The sequence below is a fragment of the Homo sapiens genome, chromosome 6, assembly GCF_000001405.40.
Source record: "Homo sapiens chromosome 6, GRCh38.p14 Primary Assembly".
In the NCBI taxonomy this organism is placed as follows: Eukaryota; Metazoa; Chordata; class Mammalia; order Primates; family Hominidae; genus Homo; species Homo sapiens.
The window spans coordinates 107666529-107683464 of NC_000006.12; the positions used below are offsets into that span (position 1 = coordinate 107666529).

Genomic DNA, 16936 nt, shown 5'->3' on the forward strand with positions numbered 1-16936 from the left:
TTGTCCCTGCTGTCAGCTTCCAAGTGCAACCTGAGCCTGGATTCCGAACCCAGTGTCCAGATTAGAGATTGTTGACTCAGATTTAGTGGTGAAACGTGAGCCGGACTCTGTTGATGGCAAGCCTTGAAGAAGCAAGTTTACTTAAGCCAAGAGAGAGATTGTATGTCAGACCAGAGCCTGGCTTTTCTTTATCACAAACTTCCTGATCTGCCTCTGTTTTAATAGTTTCCACCACCACCACTGAGAGCAAGAAAGAGAGTGAGACAGAGAGACATAGAGAAAGAGAGAGGAAGCACCCCTCTCAGTTCCGTCTCTTCAGTGTTATAAATCAGGAAATTAACAAGTGTGTAACTGGCCTTTGCCACAGTCAAAGACAATGAGCCTTTTGTGTTTCTAACTGGGGGCCGGCACTTAACATAATCAATGAAGAACTCTACTCAGAAAGGATGAAAAATGGAGGCTTGATCCGGCCATTTAAAGGATCTTTCCTAATACTCAGGCACATGGCTTTTATGAGACGCAAACACGGCTTAGAACCTTGCCTTTGGTCTGAAGGCGGGTCATTAAGAGAAATCATTACATCGCTTTCCCTGTCTCTGTCTCTCTCTCCGTTTTTCTTTGGCTCCCTCCTGGCTTTTCCTTGGCTTCTGATTCCATCCCTCTTTTAGATTCTCTGTGCCTTCAGTAATTTATGTGCAAGATATTTTCCCAACCTCCAAATGTTTTTCCATTTGGCAAACCATGTCCCGAAGCCTCCACACAATGTGACTGTAGAGTTCATTTATGCTAGAGAACATAAGCTTGGTTAATGGACAAGCCTAAGTGGCCAATGGCAGTGACCCTGTGGGCCTGGGCCGTCAAGGACTGATCCTCGGGGCTGCCCCAGGGGATGCAGTGGAGGTGGGTGTCGGGGAGGAGTGTCTTTTCCAGGTTGCCACAGATGCTTGGCTTCGACCCTCCTTGTCTCCAAAAGGGAAAGAATTCCTTCCAAGCCCCTTTCTCGTATAGTTTTTGGAAGCTTCAGGGCACCATATGGAGAATCATTTCATGATCCTCCTGATGGCTTTTACGTGAGCAGCTATAAATTGGATGGTTTCCTTCAGGTCTGATATCCTGCAGTACCTGCCATGGATTGTCAGGAAAGTCACTGAATATGTTAGTCCTGTGCCGTTCTTTGGGGGAAAGAAGGCCCAGACCCCCTCCTGGGAGGGACCACTATTACTTTGAGAAATGAAAACTAGAGAAGGGGGTAGGGTGGCACGTGGTGCAAAAGCCTGGAAGCTCAGGAGGGTCATGTGCCCCAGTGAATTTTTCATTCCAAAATCTTAGATTAGGACTAAGGCAGGAGTTGAGGCTGGTGCCTCTTCTCAAATGCCATGCTCATTGGCTTCTCCCTTGAGGCTCTTAATAAGCCTGGCTGGGCGGGGCCACTCTGTGAGATAAAGATGAGGTTAATGGGCTGGGTTTATGTCCAGGCGCTCACAGGGTATAACTAGACAGCATTTGGCTTCTGAAATATGAGCTCTATTCATTGAGTAACTGGCACTTTTTCTTTCTAAACAGTTGCAATGATATAATACAACTCTCTCCGTTTTACTTCTTTAAAAGGTGCCACATGAAGGGCTTTCTCAACTCTTGACCCAGGCATCTGTGGATTTAATAAGCAAATCAAAAGCAAAGAGCCATCCTCATAAGAAAAAGGCTTTAGGCGAGTTTTTTAAGGGGCCTTCTTTCGCTTAGATAACCATTTCCTTAACTGAATTCCTTTGACCCTATACATCTGAGCCAGGAGGGCAGAGGTTGGTTAGTGTATTCTACTGGGCCACACATTAATAAGGAATGGAGCCCTTCAACTGTTTCCCAAGCATCTCTGAAAAAAAAGTCACAAAAATCAGAGTACTGAAGACTGGTTGGCTCTGGGAACGCATTCACTCAGATGTATTTTTAGGCTTTTGTTTATCTGTCTTGATTGATAAAGTAATGATCAAAATGCGTTAGAAAATAATAGCCAACTGGTGAGAAATGGAACAGTTGGAGGCAGCGCGGCAATGGAGGAAAGCATCGCAGACTCCCCCAGACTTTCCAGAGAAACCCCGGGAAAATCCTCTTCTCTTCTCCTTTCTCTTCTTTGGGGAGCTGATCAGGGCTCTGGCTTGATAAAGCCCATCCCCCACCCCCCCACGTCGCAGAGTAACTCATTAACCCCCCCAGAAAGGCTGCCCGAGTCCTCGTTTCCCTCTCCTCACCTCTCCTCCATCCCTCTTCGCTCCGAAGGCTGCCGCAGGCCAACCAGAACCCCAGCAGATGTTTGTGTTTTATGAGCCAAACGGGAGCCTGAAGGATCAACCAAATACCAGCCCCTCTGAGAGGGGAACCAGGCCATCTAACACGAGGAACACAGAAGGCCGCCCGTCCAGCAGGGCTGGGGCTTCCAGGGAGCAGAAGGAGGGCTGAATAATTAGCTGGCACAGCCTCGTGTTGGCCCATCGCTCTGTCCTTCTGAAGAGCTCACAGAGGCCTTTAATGGGGGCTCAGAGAGGTTGGAGAGGCCCTCTGTGAGTCCACCTCCCTGGCTGGCAGTCCTGGCCAGGATGGCCTCCTCTCATGCCAGAGCACCATGTGGCACCCCGACCGTGGTTCCTGGCACAGGAACGAGCAGGAGGGTAAGGACGGCTACCGTGGAACCAACTTGGAAGTGCCGTGCTGCTCAACAGCCACCCCCACCTCCACACCGCTGTAGGGCCACGGAAGAATGAACAGTGTGGGTGTGCAGATGGAAGACCAAAGTTTCTCTCTCAGCCCCGCCACTTCCTGCCGTGCGCTGCTGGCCGCATTGGTCTTTAATGTCTCCAAGGCTTGATTTCTGTCTCAGTGACATGGAGATGATGAGACCTACTCTTGGGGTTGCTTCCAGGGTTAGATGATAGCAAGTGTGCTGGCTCTGGGCCTGTTTGCTCTGAGATCCATTTCTCAACTTTCCCTGCTCTGCTCCACATGGCAGGGCCCTCACCCTGGCTGTATTCAGCTAATGGGAGATGGGATTTCTCTCCCTCTCTCTCTCCCTCAGCCACCTTCCTCAGTTCCCTCTGGAAAGCCCTTAGGAGCTGCAGCTCCCATGAAGTCTTCCTATGTTTGTTCCTTCAGCCTCAGGGTTTTCTCACTGTCCCCTGCCCAGCTTCTCAGCTCTCCATCACTGTGGACCCCCTTCCCTTCCTTGCGCTCCCCTGGCTGCAAGGGCCTAAGGTGCTCTCTGTTTTCCTGGCTGGGCCTTGGCCGATAGAGTATGTGAACATGTAAACGTGTCGCACACCAAGACAGAGACAGAACCCCCGAAGACCCCAGTCCATAAAGCAGAAGGAAGGACGGTGCAGCTCACCTCGTGTTTCCCACCCTGAGCATCACAACCTGGAGCTTAACCGTAGGTCAGGTGATCTATCTGAAACCATTCCCCAAGGGGTTCTTCAGCTTGGGCCTTTAGACAAACAGAAAAATGGAATAGCAACTATGTATGTTTTTTTTTAATCATATATTAGTTTCATTAAAAATATGGATAAAAAATATGCAGTGGGCTTCTGGTATGCCTTCCATTTATTCTTTGCTTTAAAAAAAAAAGAGAGATGGGGGTTCTCACTTTGTCACCTAGGTTGGAGTGCAGTGGCATGATAATAGCTCACTGCAATCTCAAACTCCCGGGCTCAAGCGATTCTCCTGCTTCAGCCTCCTGAGTAGCTGGGACTACAGGCCTGTGCCACCATACCTGACTAATTTAGAAAAACCTTTTTTGGTTGGGCGCGGTGGCTCATGTCTGTAATCCCAGCACTTTGGGGAGGCTGAGGCAGGTAGATCAACCTGAGGCCAGGAGTTCGAGACCAGCTTGGCTAACATGGTGAAACCCCGTCTCTACTAAAAATACAAAAAATTAGCTGGGTGTGGTGGTATATGCCTGTAATCCCAGCTATTCAGGAGGCTGAAGCATGAGAATTGCTTGAGCCTGGGAGGCAGAGGTTGCAGTGAGCCAAGAGTGTGCCACTGCACTGCAGCCTGGGTGACAGAGCAAAACTCTGTCTCGAAAAAACAAAAAACACCATTTTTTTTTTTTAAGGAAAGGGTCTCAGGCTGCCCAGGCTGCACTCCTTGCTATGGAACTATAGGCAATGTCTCGTGTGTCTGGACTCTCCTTCTAGGTTCTGCTGACCTTGTCTGTGTCTCCTGTTATTCCTGTTCCATACCAAGTAGCATTTTCTTGGGTTTTTGTTTTTTTTTTTTGTACCTATTCCCTGTTTCAGTGCATGTACAGGAAGAGTTGTCTCATCAGGTGCCACTAAGGAAAACTTTCTCCATCAAGCTGCCTGCTGTGCACGTTGCCTGGGCTTTGCCTACCCCTGGTGCTGCATCTGCCTGTGTTCTGTCTTCTGGTTCTGCTGTGCTGTGGGGGAGGGGACGCTTGTACTCCTCTCCTTTTGGCAGGAAGAGTCACTTCCACATTGAGGTCAGAATTGAAAATGGATTTCCCCGTTGGGCAGAGGGATGGAGGCCTGCACTTCCTGTGTAGTGTAATTAATCGCTGCCCCTTCCCTGCCTGCAGCCGTCCAGGCTCAGGGCCGGCCCTGATTAACCATTTCCTGCCCAACGTTGTGAAGGCTACGAAAGACCTGTGTGAGCTTTCGCATCCTTCCTTCCTACAAGTTCGCTATTAATCTCTTGTAGGCCATCCCTCAGGTTAGGGAGCTCTCTGTGCTGGGCTCGTTTCTGCTGTGTGGGGAGAACTCAGTGCCCAAGAGGCTCCATGGAGCAGAAAAGCCTGAGTCCAGAGGAAGAGGGGCAGGAGCTGAGGAAGCGAGGACGGCAGGGCCCTGCTTACGGAGCAAATTTAGTCCATCTTTCTCACTCCCTTCCCATGCCCATGGCTATGTCATCTCAAATGGACAGGGCTCAAAAGAAGGCTTCTCTTCGCCCTTCTAGCTGCCTGATTTTCATGTCATCTGAAGGTACAGTGAGTAAAGAACATGACCTCAGAGATGACATTTGGAAGCCTTTAGGTTGGTTTGAATTCCTGCAACTTCGGAGCCGTCCCTTTCTCACATGTGCATAAGCCATGACATTTGAGAGCTGGAAAGGACAGGATTGTTCGTATTGTTCAATGCCCTCATTTTTGCACATGTGGGAAGTGAGGTATAGAGAAAGGCGGAGTGACTTGTCTAGTGGCAGTTAGCTCGTGAGTAGCAGGATCAAGATGGGAACCCGGGTCTTCATGAACTCTCCGAATGCTTCTTTCAGCAGTTACTTTGGAATTAGAACCGATTAAAGTGTTTGCTGCCTTGATGTGGGGTGTGAGTTGTGTTCCACAGACACAGAGCTCGGTGGATTAATGGTGTGCTGGAACGTGTTTAACTGTGGGCTCTCTGAGGGGAAAAAGCGTGATTATCCATAAGTACGTAAGTTTATTATACATTTTGCTGTTATGAAAGATGTGGAACATGCAATTTATAATAACGATAAAATATATAACACTCTTTGTTATAAATTCCATAGAACCAATAGATTCTCACAGCATGGTCTTGTTGATTTTTGTTGAATTCTTGTAACTACCTGGTTGCAATTGCTGAATGAGTGTAGTTCTGATATAAATGTTGAATGATATTTTCTTGTATGTTAATGTATTAGACAAAAGTGAAACCACGAAGACATAGGTTGAAACCTCACTCATTCATCAACGACATGAGTGACTTCTTTTCTAAATCAAATACTGGGAGAATATTTCCTCAAATTTTCATGTTATTCACAATGTAACAGCCACAGACACAGACGTGGCACTCTTTTGAGTTTAATCTTCATTATGAACATTCCCCATCACTTTAAGTCTAGACAAGCAACAAAACAATAAATCAAGACCTGATTCCCAGCACTTGCCAATTTACATCCATGGTGTAAATATTCTCACCATGACAGATTTCAAGCTAACACTGTGATGTCACAGAACTCAATTAGAAAGACATGTGTAGCCACACATTCTTATATAATTTTCTACTATGCAGATATAATAGATGTAAATAACCTCAAGAGAATAGATGATAATATAATGTAGTAAAATAATGGAAACGATATGTTCTTAGCATTTATTACCTTTTCTTTTAATATAACTTATTTAAGTGTGTATAATTTAACTTTTAATAATGTCTATACTTAACAGCTTCTCAGAAAATTTCTGAAAATTTAGAATCAGCTCTTGTGAGCTGATAGAAGCAACCTCCAGCGTGTCACTAGCAGAAGATCAATGGGATGGTGCTTAGCCTGGCTTTACTCTTCTCAGTGTATACCCAAGGCCACTAGACTGAGGAGGCCAGGACGATGGCTATTTGGGTAAGAAGGCATGGGCCGAACTCATGCTGAGGGATGGGGTAAATTTAAGAACAAGAATTAGATCCCATGTACTAGGTAACTAAAGATATTTCGGGGTGCAGTTTCCAAATACTATAGAAAATAGTTTTAAATATCAGACTGTCAAGAAAATGGAAAGGAAACAAGGGGAGAAGAAGAAAGAGAAATAAGAAGGAGAAAACCTGATTAAATAGTAAACGCTTTTTACTAAAAACATAATTTGCTGACACAGAACTTAGGCCTGCTTTTGCGGAAGCTGCCTGACCCATCGCTCCTGCAGCCTCCCACAGGCGCGCACTGTGGTGGACATGGGGCGGGGCCCCTTGGGTATTCCCTGTTTGAGGACCTGACCTCTTACTTCTTTGGAAGGAGAGGATGAGATTACCAGAGCTTTGGATCCATTTTTGGATCAAATGAAAACCGCAGGCTAATCCTTAATGCGTCCCTCTCCTCTTACAGATGCTGGCCTCACCCCAGGGGCGGGGCATCAGATGCCTCACAGTCCCAGCCCGAGGGGGAGGCCGAAAGTCACATGCTGCCCCTGAGGTCTGGGACGGCCTCTCCTTCCCCCTCAGCCGAACTCAGTGCCCTGGGGAACCCATTTTTCCTGACTCAGCTCCAGTACCACCTCCTTTGTGAAGCTGCCTAGTCTTTTTCTGTTGCTGTAACTGCATACCTGAGACTAGGTAATTTATAAAGCTAAAAAAAAAAATTATTTCTGACAGTTCTGGAGGCTGGGAAGTCCAAGGTCTAGGAGCACATTTGGTGAGGGCCTTCTTGCTGATGGGGCCTCTCTGCAGAGTCCTGAGGCGACCCAGGGCATCACATGGAGAGGGGCCTCATCAGAGAGAGCCAATTTGGCCTTTTGTAACAGACTGGCTCTTGCGATAACTGACCTACTCCTGTGATGACCATTAGTCCATTCATGAGGGCAGAGCGCTCACCACCCAATCAGCTCTCAAAGGCCACACCTCACAGTGCTGTTATATTGGGGCATGAATTTCAACATGAGTTTTGAGGAGACAAACATTGGAATGGTAGCAGAAGAGATGATGCCCCCAGGCAGTCACCCACTCTCTCCTCCTTTCCCTCACAGCATTTGTAAGTTACTGGACCTTTTTATTCACTTGTCTATCTTCTCAACAAGACTGTGGGCTCTTCAAGAGAAAAGACCTCTTGTCAGTGCCTGGTGCATAATAGGTCTCAATAGATCTTAGGCCCTGCATCACTTTAATGATTCTCAAATACGTGTGCATAAGAATTACTTGAAGAATGGGTTAAATTGCAGATCCCCAGACCTCAGATTAGTGATCTTATAATCTGCATCTTTTAATAAGACTGTGTGATTCTGAGGCATTCATGTTCACAAACCACACTTCGAGAAATACAAATTTGTTCAAACATTTTATAGGTGGGGAAACAGAGGGCTGGAGATTAATTAACAGAGGGCTGCTTTCAGACTCTTGACTACTCAATGTAATGGGAGATCCTGGTGCTTTCAGATAGAACTATCTTAAATTTTTATTAATCTAATTAAGCTCATCACAGTCACAGTGATGATCATTGTTTGGAATATTAACAATGCCTTGAACGAAAATCATTGAATACCACATTTTAAAATAATAACAAGGCTTAACATGGTGGCTCACACCTGTAATCCTAGCACTTTGGGAGGCTGAGGTGGGCAGATCCCTTGAGGTCAAGAGTTTAAGACCAAGCTGGACAACATGGTGAAACCCCATCTCTACAAAAAATACAAAAATTAGCTGGGCACGGTGTCTCACATCTGTAATCCTAGCTGTCGGGAGGCTAAGGTGGGAGGATCACTTGAGCCTGGGAGGCGGAGGTTGCAGTGAGCCGAGATTGTGCCACTGCACTCCAGCCTGGATGATAGAGCTGGGTCTTGTCTCAAAAATTTTTTTTAATTAAAAAAAAAAATAGTAACAAGACTCTCTACTATTTAGTTAGATCCCTTTTCTCAAAGCGTAGGCATGCAGACACGGGGCACCCTCTCCCTCTGCTGCCATTAGTGTCTCCTTAGAATTTGAATTGTTTTTCCACTGACAACAGAACAAGTCCCTAGGGTGATTTATGCCTCCAAGGTGTCATTTGCCTCAATGGCTGTCCCCAGAGGCTGTTTGCCACAAGCTCTATTTCCAGCAGGGTGTCCTCTGACCCCTCTGACACCCACACTTTATGGTGGCAGATATAGGGCCCCAAAGTAGAACAATGTTCAGGCATCTGGCTCATGCCCGCTTTTATGAGCAAAACCTTATTTCACCTGCCAGTCTTTTGGTGAGCATTGTGTGTGCTGGTTCCTGCCTTGGGCAGCAGGTGCCACCTAGAGGGCCCTGTGACTGCCACCGTGGCTTGGCAGGGGCTGGGCAGCCTGGGTCCTGAGGAAACTCAGCGGACATCCACTGAGGGTCACACAGGCCCCTAAGCAGCCCTGACACTAAGCCACCCTGAAGCCCTGGGCGTCCGAGGAGGGGGCTGTCGGGGAACCCGGGAAGAACAATAGGAGGTGGGCCTGGTTCCTAGCACTCAGCCACCTTGCTTGACGTAATTCTGAGAGGAAATGGGCAAGAACTCTGTTTGTCGGCCACAAGGTGTCAGCAGCGGGCTGGCCAGGGGATGGCTCTGCGAGCAGGCCCAGGAGGAGCCGCAGCACGCTGAGAGGGTGTTGCTGGTTGCTCTTTGAAGTTCCTAGTTTGCAGAGACTGCTTTTCTTATTAGTGGGGGCCTGATGATTACGATACCAAAAGACCCCTCTCTGCCTTGCCTGCGGACCAGCCACATGCCTCTCTCTGCTTTCAGTTGGGTAAAATTGCCGCCGCCGGACACCTCAACCAAGCCTGAACTGCAGCTTGAAGAGCTGGATGCAGGTGGAGATTTGGGGATAACACCACACAAAGCAATGATGTAGGAGGTGTATGAAGACGGAGTAGTTCAGGACACTCCTTTTTAAAAAATTGGATATGAGTTCTGGCTTGCCTGCGCGCTAGGTGTGAATTTGAAGTCTGGGTTTGCATCCCCATCTGTAAAATAGCATGTTTCCCATCTTTCAAACGACGATATCCACAGGCTTCTTATGTGGGTCAAATGAGATCAGGTAATTTGCAAACTATGAGGTACTATACACACGTGGGTGCGATTGTTGGGGCTTATCTTTTGGCCCAAGCTGTGTCCTAGAGCTTCCTTCTGACTAGAGGAACAGACACTGAAGCACAAACGGATGGCTGACTCTTCCGAGCGGGTCATGTGCAGTCTCCGTGTGAGCTGCCAGCCATCAAGTTCCGATCCAGCCTGATAGAGTCATCTTCCAACTAGATTCTTCCTGGATGCCTTTGCATGGCTCGTGTCCAACTGGAAAGCTGGCAGTGGATGCTCGCTCTTCCCTCTTCACTGAGCCCGCTTTTCCATACTGGAAGAAGATGAAACACACATTTCAGAATGTAAGTTTTTCCTGCCGGACACTATCCCCCCTGGAGTGATGGAGAAAAATATTAGATGAAGTCAGGGGATAACTGAGTAACATACTGATTTATAAACTCATGGAATCAAATGAAAGTGTTTTTTCCACTGGTGGGGTTATTTATTATGTCCTGGCTGGACAGATCCCAGAGAGGAAGAGGCTTTGGTCCCTGAGCAATAGAAGTAGCAGGAACCAATTTTCTCCATTGCTCTGCTTTAAAAAAAAAAAAAAATAGAACTCACCTGGCTTTGAAATTCATCCCACTCATCACCTTTGGAGTGAGTGGGGACTAAGGCACAGGCCCCATCATGCTGGGATGTTGGCAAAGAAGAGATGAGGCTGCTGCTACTGGTCATTGCTCTGTGGAGCTTTTCATGTGGCCTGTTTCTTGGTGGAAATAAACTACCTGGAAAGTATATTATGAAAAACTCTGATGGGATTTTGATTGTAATTTTACTGTTTATATTAATTTGTGGAAAAGTGTCATCTTTGTGATATAAAGTTTTTCCATCCATGAACATGGTGTATCTTTCCGTTTATTCGATTTCTTTTTTGTGTGTTTCAAAGAAACCTTTTAAGTTTCTGTGTAAAGGCTTTGGGCATCTTATGTTCAATTAATTTCTAGATAAATTATAAGCTTTTTCATGCTATTGTAATGGAATCTTTAAAAATACATTTTGTTATTGTTGCTGTTATGTAGGTAAATATTTGTGTGTGTGTGTGTGTGTGTGTGTGTGTGTGTGTTGATAGAAATTGACTGAAGCCTTATCAGTTCTAATGGTTTGTTTATTGTTTTGGATTTTCTGTGTAAACAATGATATTGAATAATGCACATTTCAGCTTTTCCTTTTTAATCCTGATATATTTTGTTTCTTTTTGTTTTGTTACACTGTCAGTTAGCATCTTGAGGTCATCCTACTTGTCCTGACTTCAAGGGAAATTTTTTGGCATAAATGTTTTATTTTTAAATAATTTTAAATTTATTTTAAGAACTTGCAAAGATAGTACATAGAGTTGCCATAGACCCCTCACCCAGTGTCCTCCATTGTTAACAATTATAGAACATGGTACCCATGTCAAAACTAAGAAACCAAAACTGATGTATCAATATTCACTAAACTCTAGAGTTTATTCAGATTTCACTAGTTCTTCCGCTAATGTTCCTTTTCTGCCCCAGGATCCCATCTAGGATATCCCATTCTGTTTAGTCATCATATCTTCTTAGTCTCCCCTGGTCTATGACAGTTTTTCCTTCTTTCTTTTTCATGACCTTGACACTTTTGAGGCATATTGGTTAGGTATTTTATGGAATGTTTCTCAATTTTGAGTTTGCCTGATGTTTTTCTCATGAATAGAATGTGTTTATGGTTTTTTGGGAATAATATCAGAGCAGTGTCCTTCTTATCATGTTGTATCCAAGAGTACATGCTGTCAACATGAAGCATCACTGGTGAAGTTAGCCTTAGTCACCCGACTAAGGCAATGTTTGCCAGAGTTTTCCATAGGAAAGTTACCTCCCCTATGCCCTTTCCATTCACAATTGCAACCCATCCTTAAGTGGGAGAAGGGGGAAAGGGGAGAGGGATTGTATTAGTCTGTTCTCACGCTGCTACGAAGAAATACCCAAGACTGGGTAATTTATAAAGAAAAGAGGTTTAATGGACTTGCAGTTCTGCATGACTGGGGAGGCCTCAGGAAACTTACAATCACATGGCAGAAGGCACCTTTTCACAGGGTGGCAGGATGGAGTGAGTGCTGAGCAAAGGGGGAAAAGCCCCTTATAAAACCATCAGATCTCGTGAGAACTCACTTACTCTCACAAGAACAGCATGGGGGTAATCACTCCCATGATTCAATTACCTCCACTGCATCCCTCCCGCTACACTTGGGGATTATGGAAACTTCAATTCAAAATGAGATTTGGGTGGGGACACGGCCAAACCATATCGGTGAGGATTAAGTTTCACCTCCTAGAGGATGGAGTATGTTCATATGCTGTATTATCTGGAATCCTTCTGTAAGAAAGACTTGTCTTTCCTATTTATCTGTCCATTTGCTTATTCAATCAGTTATTTATATCAGTATGGACTCATGTATTTTCTTATACTCTGGCTTATAGTATGTTATTTATTTTCTTGCTCAAATTCTTCCAGTTTGGGCATTGGAGCTCTTTCAGGTTGGCTCTGGTGTCCCTTTGACATGCCCCTATACTTTTATTTTTTGGCATCTTCTTACTTTCTGGCTATATAACAAGATCCGCACTCATTTTATATTTTCCCTGCCCTAGACCTAGAATCAGCCATTTCTCCAAGGAGCTCTGGTTCCTTTTATTGGAGAATGGAATTTGGAAACCAAGATCTCGGTGATTTGTGTGCTCCTTACAACTGGGATATCACTGTTTCTAGTCTTCTCAGCAGACAGAACTAAGAATATATGTATATATACTAGCTCATGTATGCACATACCTATAATTATGTCTGAATCTAGCCATTTGCATCTTTATTAATCTCAACATGAGCTCAACTGGATTACAATGTCTCCGATTGTAATCCAGTACAACATGGTTCATTCTAGACTTCCTCCTTTATTAACTGTAATTTTCCTCTCTAACAGGAAGAAACCTAGCTTCCACCATCTACCATCTGCTTACTTATAAAGACAGTAGTTTTAAGGTTCTGTCATTAAGTTTGATGAAGATTTTTGTTAGCTATCCTTACCAGGTTAAGGAGGTTTCCTTCTATTGCTATTTTGTTTTAAAAAATTAACCTTGAATTATTAAATCATATATTTTAGTCAGTCGTCTATTGAGATGATAATATAACATGTCAAAATGACAATATGAAATGTTAAATTATTTGTATCCCTGGGTCAAATCCAACTCGGTCATAGAACTCTTTTTTATTAGATTGAAGTACATGAATTTGCTGTCTTTTTGTACATCAAAAATTGGCAATCAAATACATTGCTGAATTCTGTTTGCTAGTGATTTGTTTAGGATTTTTGTGTATATGTTCATAAGAGATTAGCTTATTATTTTCCTGTCACTCACTGTTTTTCTGCCCCTGAAATTCAAGGGCTTGCTCTTCAGAAGCCAGGATATCTTTTAATTATCACTACGCAAGGTTATAAGCATGAAGGTCATTGCCTTTAGAAAGAAAGGAGATGAGTAAAAGAACAGAGAAACAAGGAGAGGGAGGGGTGACAGAGCTGGAGAGGAGGAGGAGTTTTGGCTAGTTCCAGATGAACTCCCACCCCCGCTCCGCCTACCATACAGCTGGAAGTAGCTCTGTCATCTTACTCTAGAGGCCCTCCCCTCACCTCACATGCAATCCACACACATCCTTAGAATGGGGCAGGAGGAGAAGACAAACTTCACTGGAGCTGCTTCTATACTGTTTTCCTAACAGACTTGTGGCAGAATAGAGCTCCTGTCGTATGTGCACTGGGTGGACTTTTGTTTTTGTTTGCCCAGCCTTCCTTTCTTCTCTCCTTAGATGACAGCACACTTTATTCCTTTAGAGAATTGCTCCTCCATGCCTGTGTCCTAGATTCTGATGAGGCCTCCTTCCCTGTACCCTGCCCCATCCCTCAGCTACAAAAATGGGCACATGGCCCAGGCTTGGCCAATTATTCCTTGGCTTTAATGACTGGTCCTCATGGTGGACAGGAGGCTCAAGTTGGTCCAATCAGAGTTCTTTCAAGACGGTGAATGCGCTCCCTTTCTTTCCTTGCAGATCCTGAGCTGGAGCAAGGTAAGTCTGGAACTGCCTACTGCCAGTTTTCCTTTCTTTGGTCCTACCCTCTGGAGGGAGTTATTTGAGGAAAGGCAGAATGAGATCAACACAAAGAGAGAAGCGGAGATGCAAACTGCAGGTATACTTTGAGTCTCCAGATCCACGCTATTCATTCCAATTAGATAAGCTATAAATAACTCCCCTTTTTTGCTTAAGCTACTTCGAGTTGGGCCACCTGACAGATTTGTATCTGCTGAATCAGGTCAGGACTGAGGGAGTTTGTGCTGCCTCTGTGTTCTCAGTTTACTAATCTCACCTACAGCGTGACACAGCTGTGGCTGTTGGTAGTGATGGCTCAAACCAGCTATCCTCATTCACTGGTGGGCAGGAAGCAGGTGGGACCCCTTAAAAGAGACCCCAGCCCAGTTAGTATAAAGAAACCTCAAGGTTCTGTACTATGATAGTGATGAACACCTCAACTGATGGAAAGTGACACTGTAAAATCAGCACACATGGGAGGGGGTATGTAGACGTTGGTGTCCTTTTATTTATTGCCTGGTGAGCTTAGAAAAGGATAATATCTTAAAGGGGGTTCTCCGTCAAAATAAGCCATTGTAGCTGAGAGTTATTTAATAAGGGAATAGGGAAGGGAGGTCTACTTTTCAGTAAGAGAGAGCCTTGTTTGCACATGATGTCCCTGTCCTTCTTCCCACCAGAAGGGCAGTCACGCTGGAGGACAGCTGGATTTAACGTCCAAGCGTACATGCTCTGTGCAGGAGAATGATGTGATCTAACAAAGGCTGGGGCATATGTCCAGTGAACAAAATGATGATTTCAATTTATTTTTTCTTGTGATGCGTAATAGCTTTAAAGACCATTTCTGCACAAGGTTAGCAGAAAAGTTGCGTGATTTCTCTAAGGCCAAAGAACAAAGGTTTTCTTTGTTTTTGTTTTTGTTGAGAGGGAGTCTGTCTCCATCGCCCAGGCTGGAGTGCAATGGCGTGATCTCGGCTCACTGCAACCTCTGCCTCCTGGGTTCAAGCGACTCTCCTGCTTCAGCCTCCCAAGTAGCTGGGATTATAGGTGTGCACCACCACTCTTAGCTAATTTTCCTATTTTTAGTAGAGACAGGGTTTCACCGTATTGGCCAGGCTGGTCTTGAACTCCTGACCTCAGGTGATCTACCCACCTTGGCCTCCCAAAGGCTGGGATTAAAGGCGTGAGCCACTGCACTCAGCCTTAAAGAACAAAGTTTTAAAGAAATATCTTAATTTTTCTGATAAAAAAAGTACAAGCAATTCTTTTAAAATTCAATAAAAATTAAGAAAGCAAAGATCATTTAAAATTCTATCACTCAGAGATAAGCACTATTTATATTTTGGTGTATTTCTCCCATATATATTTCTATCAAACGGCAAGATTAGAAGCTGACTCCAGACCAGAATTAGGGTCTTTTGATGCCTTTAAGGATATTTGTTTTTTATTTATTATGACATTTTAAAATATAATTATAGAAAATAATGTGATAAAAAGCCGTGGACCCAAAGCCCACATATAACAAAATTTAGCATTTACTCTGTTTACTTTGGATGACTTTTTGTTTTAAAAAACACAATACTGCAGATTGTTTGATCCCTCACGCCCACCCCATACTCTTCCCTGATCCCATTTTTCTTTCCTGGCGTTAACCATAATCCTGAAGTTGGGAGTATCTTTCTGTATTATGGTTCTCCAGAGAAAAAGAACTGATAGGACATATATATATTTGCAGAGGTGCAGAAAAAAAGGAGTAAAGCCCTTCTTCCTCTACTCTTTGTTCTATTCAGGCCCTTAATGGATTGGGTGGTGCCCACTCACACTGGGGAGGACCATCTGATTCAAGTGCTGATCTCATCTGGAAACACTGGCACAGACATACCCAGAAATCATGATTAATCTGGGCACCCCATGGCCCAGTCAGGTTGACATATAAAATTAACCATCACACTTTTTTACATGTGGTTTTGTTGTTGTTGTTTTTAGAGACAGGGTCTTACTCCGTTTTCCAGGTTGGAGCGCAGTCGTGCAATCATGGCTCACTGCAGCCTTGAACTCCTAGGCTCAAGCGATCCTCTTGCCTCATCCTCTCGAGGAGCTAGGACCACAGGTATGCGCCACCACATCCAGCTAATTTTTTAAAAGTTTTTTGTAGAGACAGGGTCTTGCTCTGTCACCCCAGCTGGTGTCAAGCTCCTAGTCTCTCTCATACATGTTTTTATATTTTTCTATGTATGTATGCATACTTAAACAATACAACGTATCATTTTTTGCCTTTAAAAAATTTTTAAACAAATTATATTAATATGTGTGTCTTCTTCTAAAACTTTCTTTTTTGTACTCACCTTTATATCTCTGACATTTATGCATGCGATACATCTATTATCATTTAGTTACTGTATACTACCATTGAATGAATATATCAGAGTTCATTTATCCATTCCTTTGTGAATAGACTTTTAGGTTGTTCTATGTTTTGCTATTTCGAACAATGTTACCATGGACATATTTGTCCTCACCTTGTGAACACCTGTGAGAATTTCTGGAGGCGGAATTTTGAGGTGGGAGTACAGGCGCATCTTCGACTTTTTATTAAATATTGCCACATTGTTTTCTAAAACATTTGTTATACTCTGCAATGAATTCAGGTTATGGCCACAAGATCTACACATTCTCCTTGGTTTTTGGCTGGAGCAGCTCTCACCACCACTTGTGCTATTGTTTTGGGGCCAGTTGGCCACTGCTGCCTCCACTGTTGCCATGAAACAGCAGCCTGCTTGTAAGCATAAAGTCACAGTGCTCATGGTAGAATATTTGTAAAGGTGGCTGCAATGACCCCTTTCATTGCCATGTGCATGCCGCATTACAGTATGCCTACTCTACTCCCATCAAGATGTGTATTTCCCTTCTCCTTGAATCTGGGCTGGCCTTGTAACTTCTTTGACCAACAGAATGTGTGGAAATGACCTTGTGTGACTTCTGAGTCTCAGCTTCAAGACATCTTGCAGCCTCTTGTCTCCTCATCTTGGAATGCAATGCTGCCATGTTAGAAAGCCTCCAAGAGGGTGAATCATCATATGAAGAGAAGCAACCATGAAGGATGACCCTATGATGAGATGGTGCCATCAGGAAGCACCAAGTGCCCAACATGTCACTGTGGCCATCTTGGACCATTCAACCCCAAGTAAGCCACTAGATGACTGCAGCCATGTAGGTAACCCCTGGAAAGATCAACAGAAGAACCACTAAGCTGAGCCCAGTCCATATTGCTCGCCTGTAGTATTATAAGCAAATAAAATGGTTGTTGTTTTCA

The 16936-nt window shown here is 44.4% G+C and overlaps 1 long non-coding RNA gene across 1 annotated transcript, besides 7 other annotated features; it reads left to right on the forward strand.

Moving 5' to 3' along the window:
* Positions 1978-2478: an enhancer, noted in NCBI's record as "H3K4me1 hESC enhancer chr6:107989710-107990210 (GRCh37/hg19 assembly coordinates)". NCBI's record gives its function as "activates a minimal SCP1, AML or CMV promoter by ChIP-STARR-seq in primed H9 embryonic stem cells {active_cell/tissue: H9 hESC(primed)}" and the evidence as "EXISTENCE:reporter gene assay evidence [ECO:0000049][PMID:30033119]".
* Positions 2479-2979: an enhancer, noted in NCBI's record as "H3K4me1 hESC enhancer chr6:107990211-107990711 (GRCh37/hg19 assembly coordinates)". NCBI's record gives its function as "activates a minimal SCP1, AML or CMV promoter by ChIP-STARR-seq in primed H9 embryonic stem cells {active_cell/tissue: H9 hESC(primed)}" and the evidence as "EXISTENCE:reporter gene assay evidence [ECO:0000049][PMID:30033119]".
* Positions 4343-4402: an enhancer, noted in NCBI's record as "active region_24906". NCBI's record gives its function as "activates an Ori minimal core promoter by ATAC-STARR-seq in GM12878 lymphoblastoid cells {active_cell/tissue: GM12878}" and the evidence as "EXISTENCE:reporter gene assay evidence [ECO:0000049][PMID:35858748]".
* Positions 6801-7300: an enhancer, noted in NCBI's record as "H3K4me1 hESC enhancer chr6:107994533-107995032 (GRCh37/hg19 assembly coordinates)". NCBI's record gives its function as "activates a minimal SCP1, AML or CMV promoter by ChIP-STARR-seq in primed H9 embryonic stem cells {active_cell/tissue: H9 hESC(primed)}" and the evidence as "EXISTENCE:reporter gene assay evidence [ECO:0000049][PMID:30033119]".
* Positions 8198-8779: an enhancer, noted in NCBI's record as "H3K27ac-H3K4me1 hESC enhancer chr6:107995930-107996511 (GRCh37/hg19 assembly coordinates)". NCBI's record gives its function as "activates a minimal SCP1, AML or CMV promoter by ChIP-STARR-seq in primed H9 embryonic stem cells {active_cell/tissue: H9 hESC(primed)}" and the evidence as "EXISTENCE:reporter gene assay evidence [ECO:0000049][PMID:30033119]".
* LOC124901367 (uncharacterized) lies at positions 8343-16936 on the forward strand. The gene is made up of 2 exons (XR_007059694.1): positions 8343-9833; positions 13588-16936. It is a non-coding gene; the product is annotated as an uncharacterized LOC124901367 (long non-coding RNA).
* Positions 8780-9360: an enhancer, noted in NCBI's record as "H3K27ac-H3K4me1 hESC enhancer chr6:107996512-107997092 (GRCh37/hg19 assembly coordinates)". NCBI's record gives its function as "activates a minimal SCP1, AML or CMV promoter by ChIP-STARR-seq in primed H9 embryonic stem cells {active_cell/tissue: H9 hESC(primed)}" and the evidence as "EXISTENCE:reporter gene assay evidence [ECO:0000049][PMID:30033119]".
* Positions 8894-9093: an enhancer, noted in NCBI's record as "active region_24907". NCBI's record gives its function as "activates an Ori minimal core promoter by ATAC-STARR-seq in GM12878 lymphoblastoid cells {active_cell/tissue: GM12878}" and the evidence as "EXISTENCE:reporter gene assay evidence [ECO:0000049][PMID:35858748]".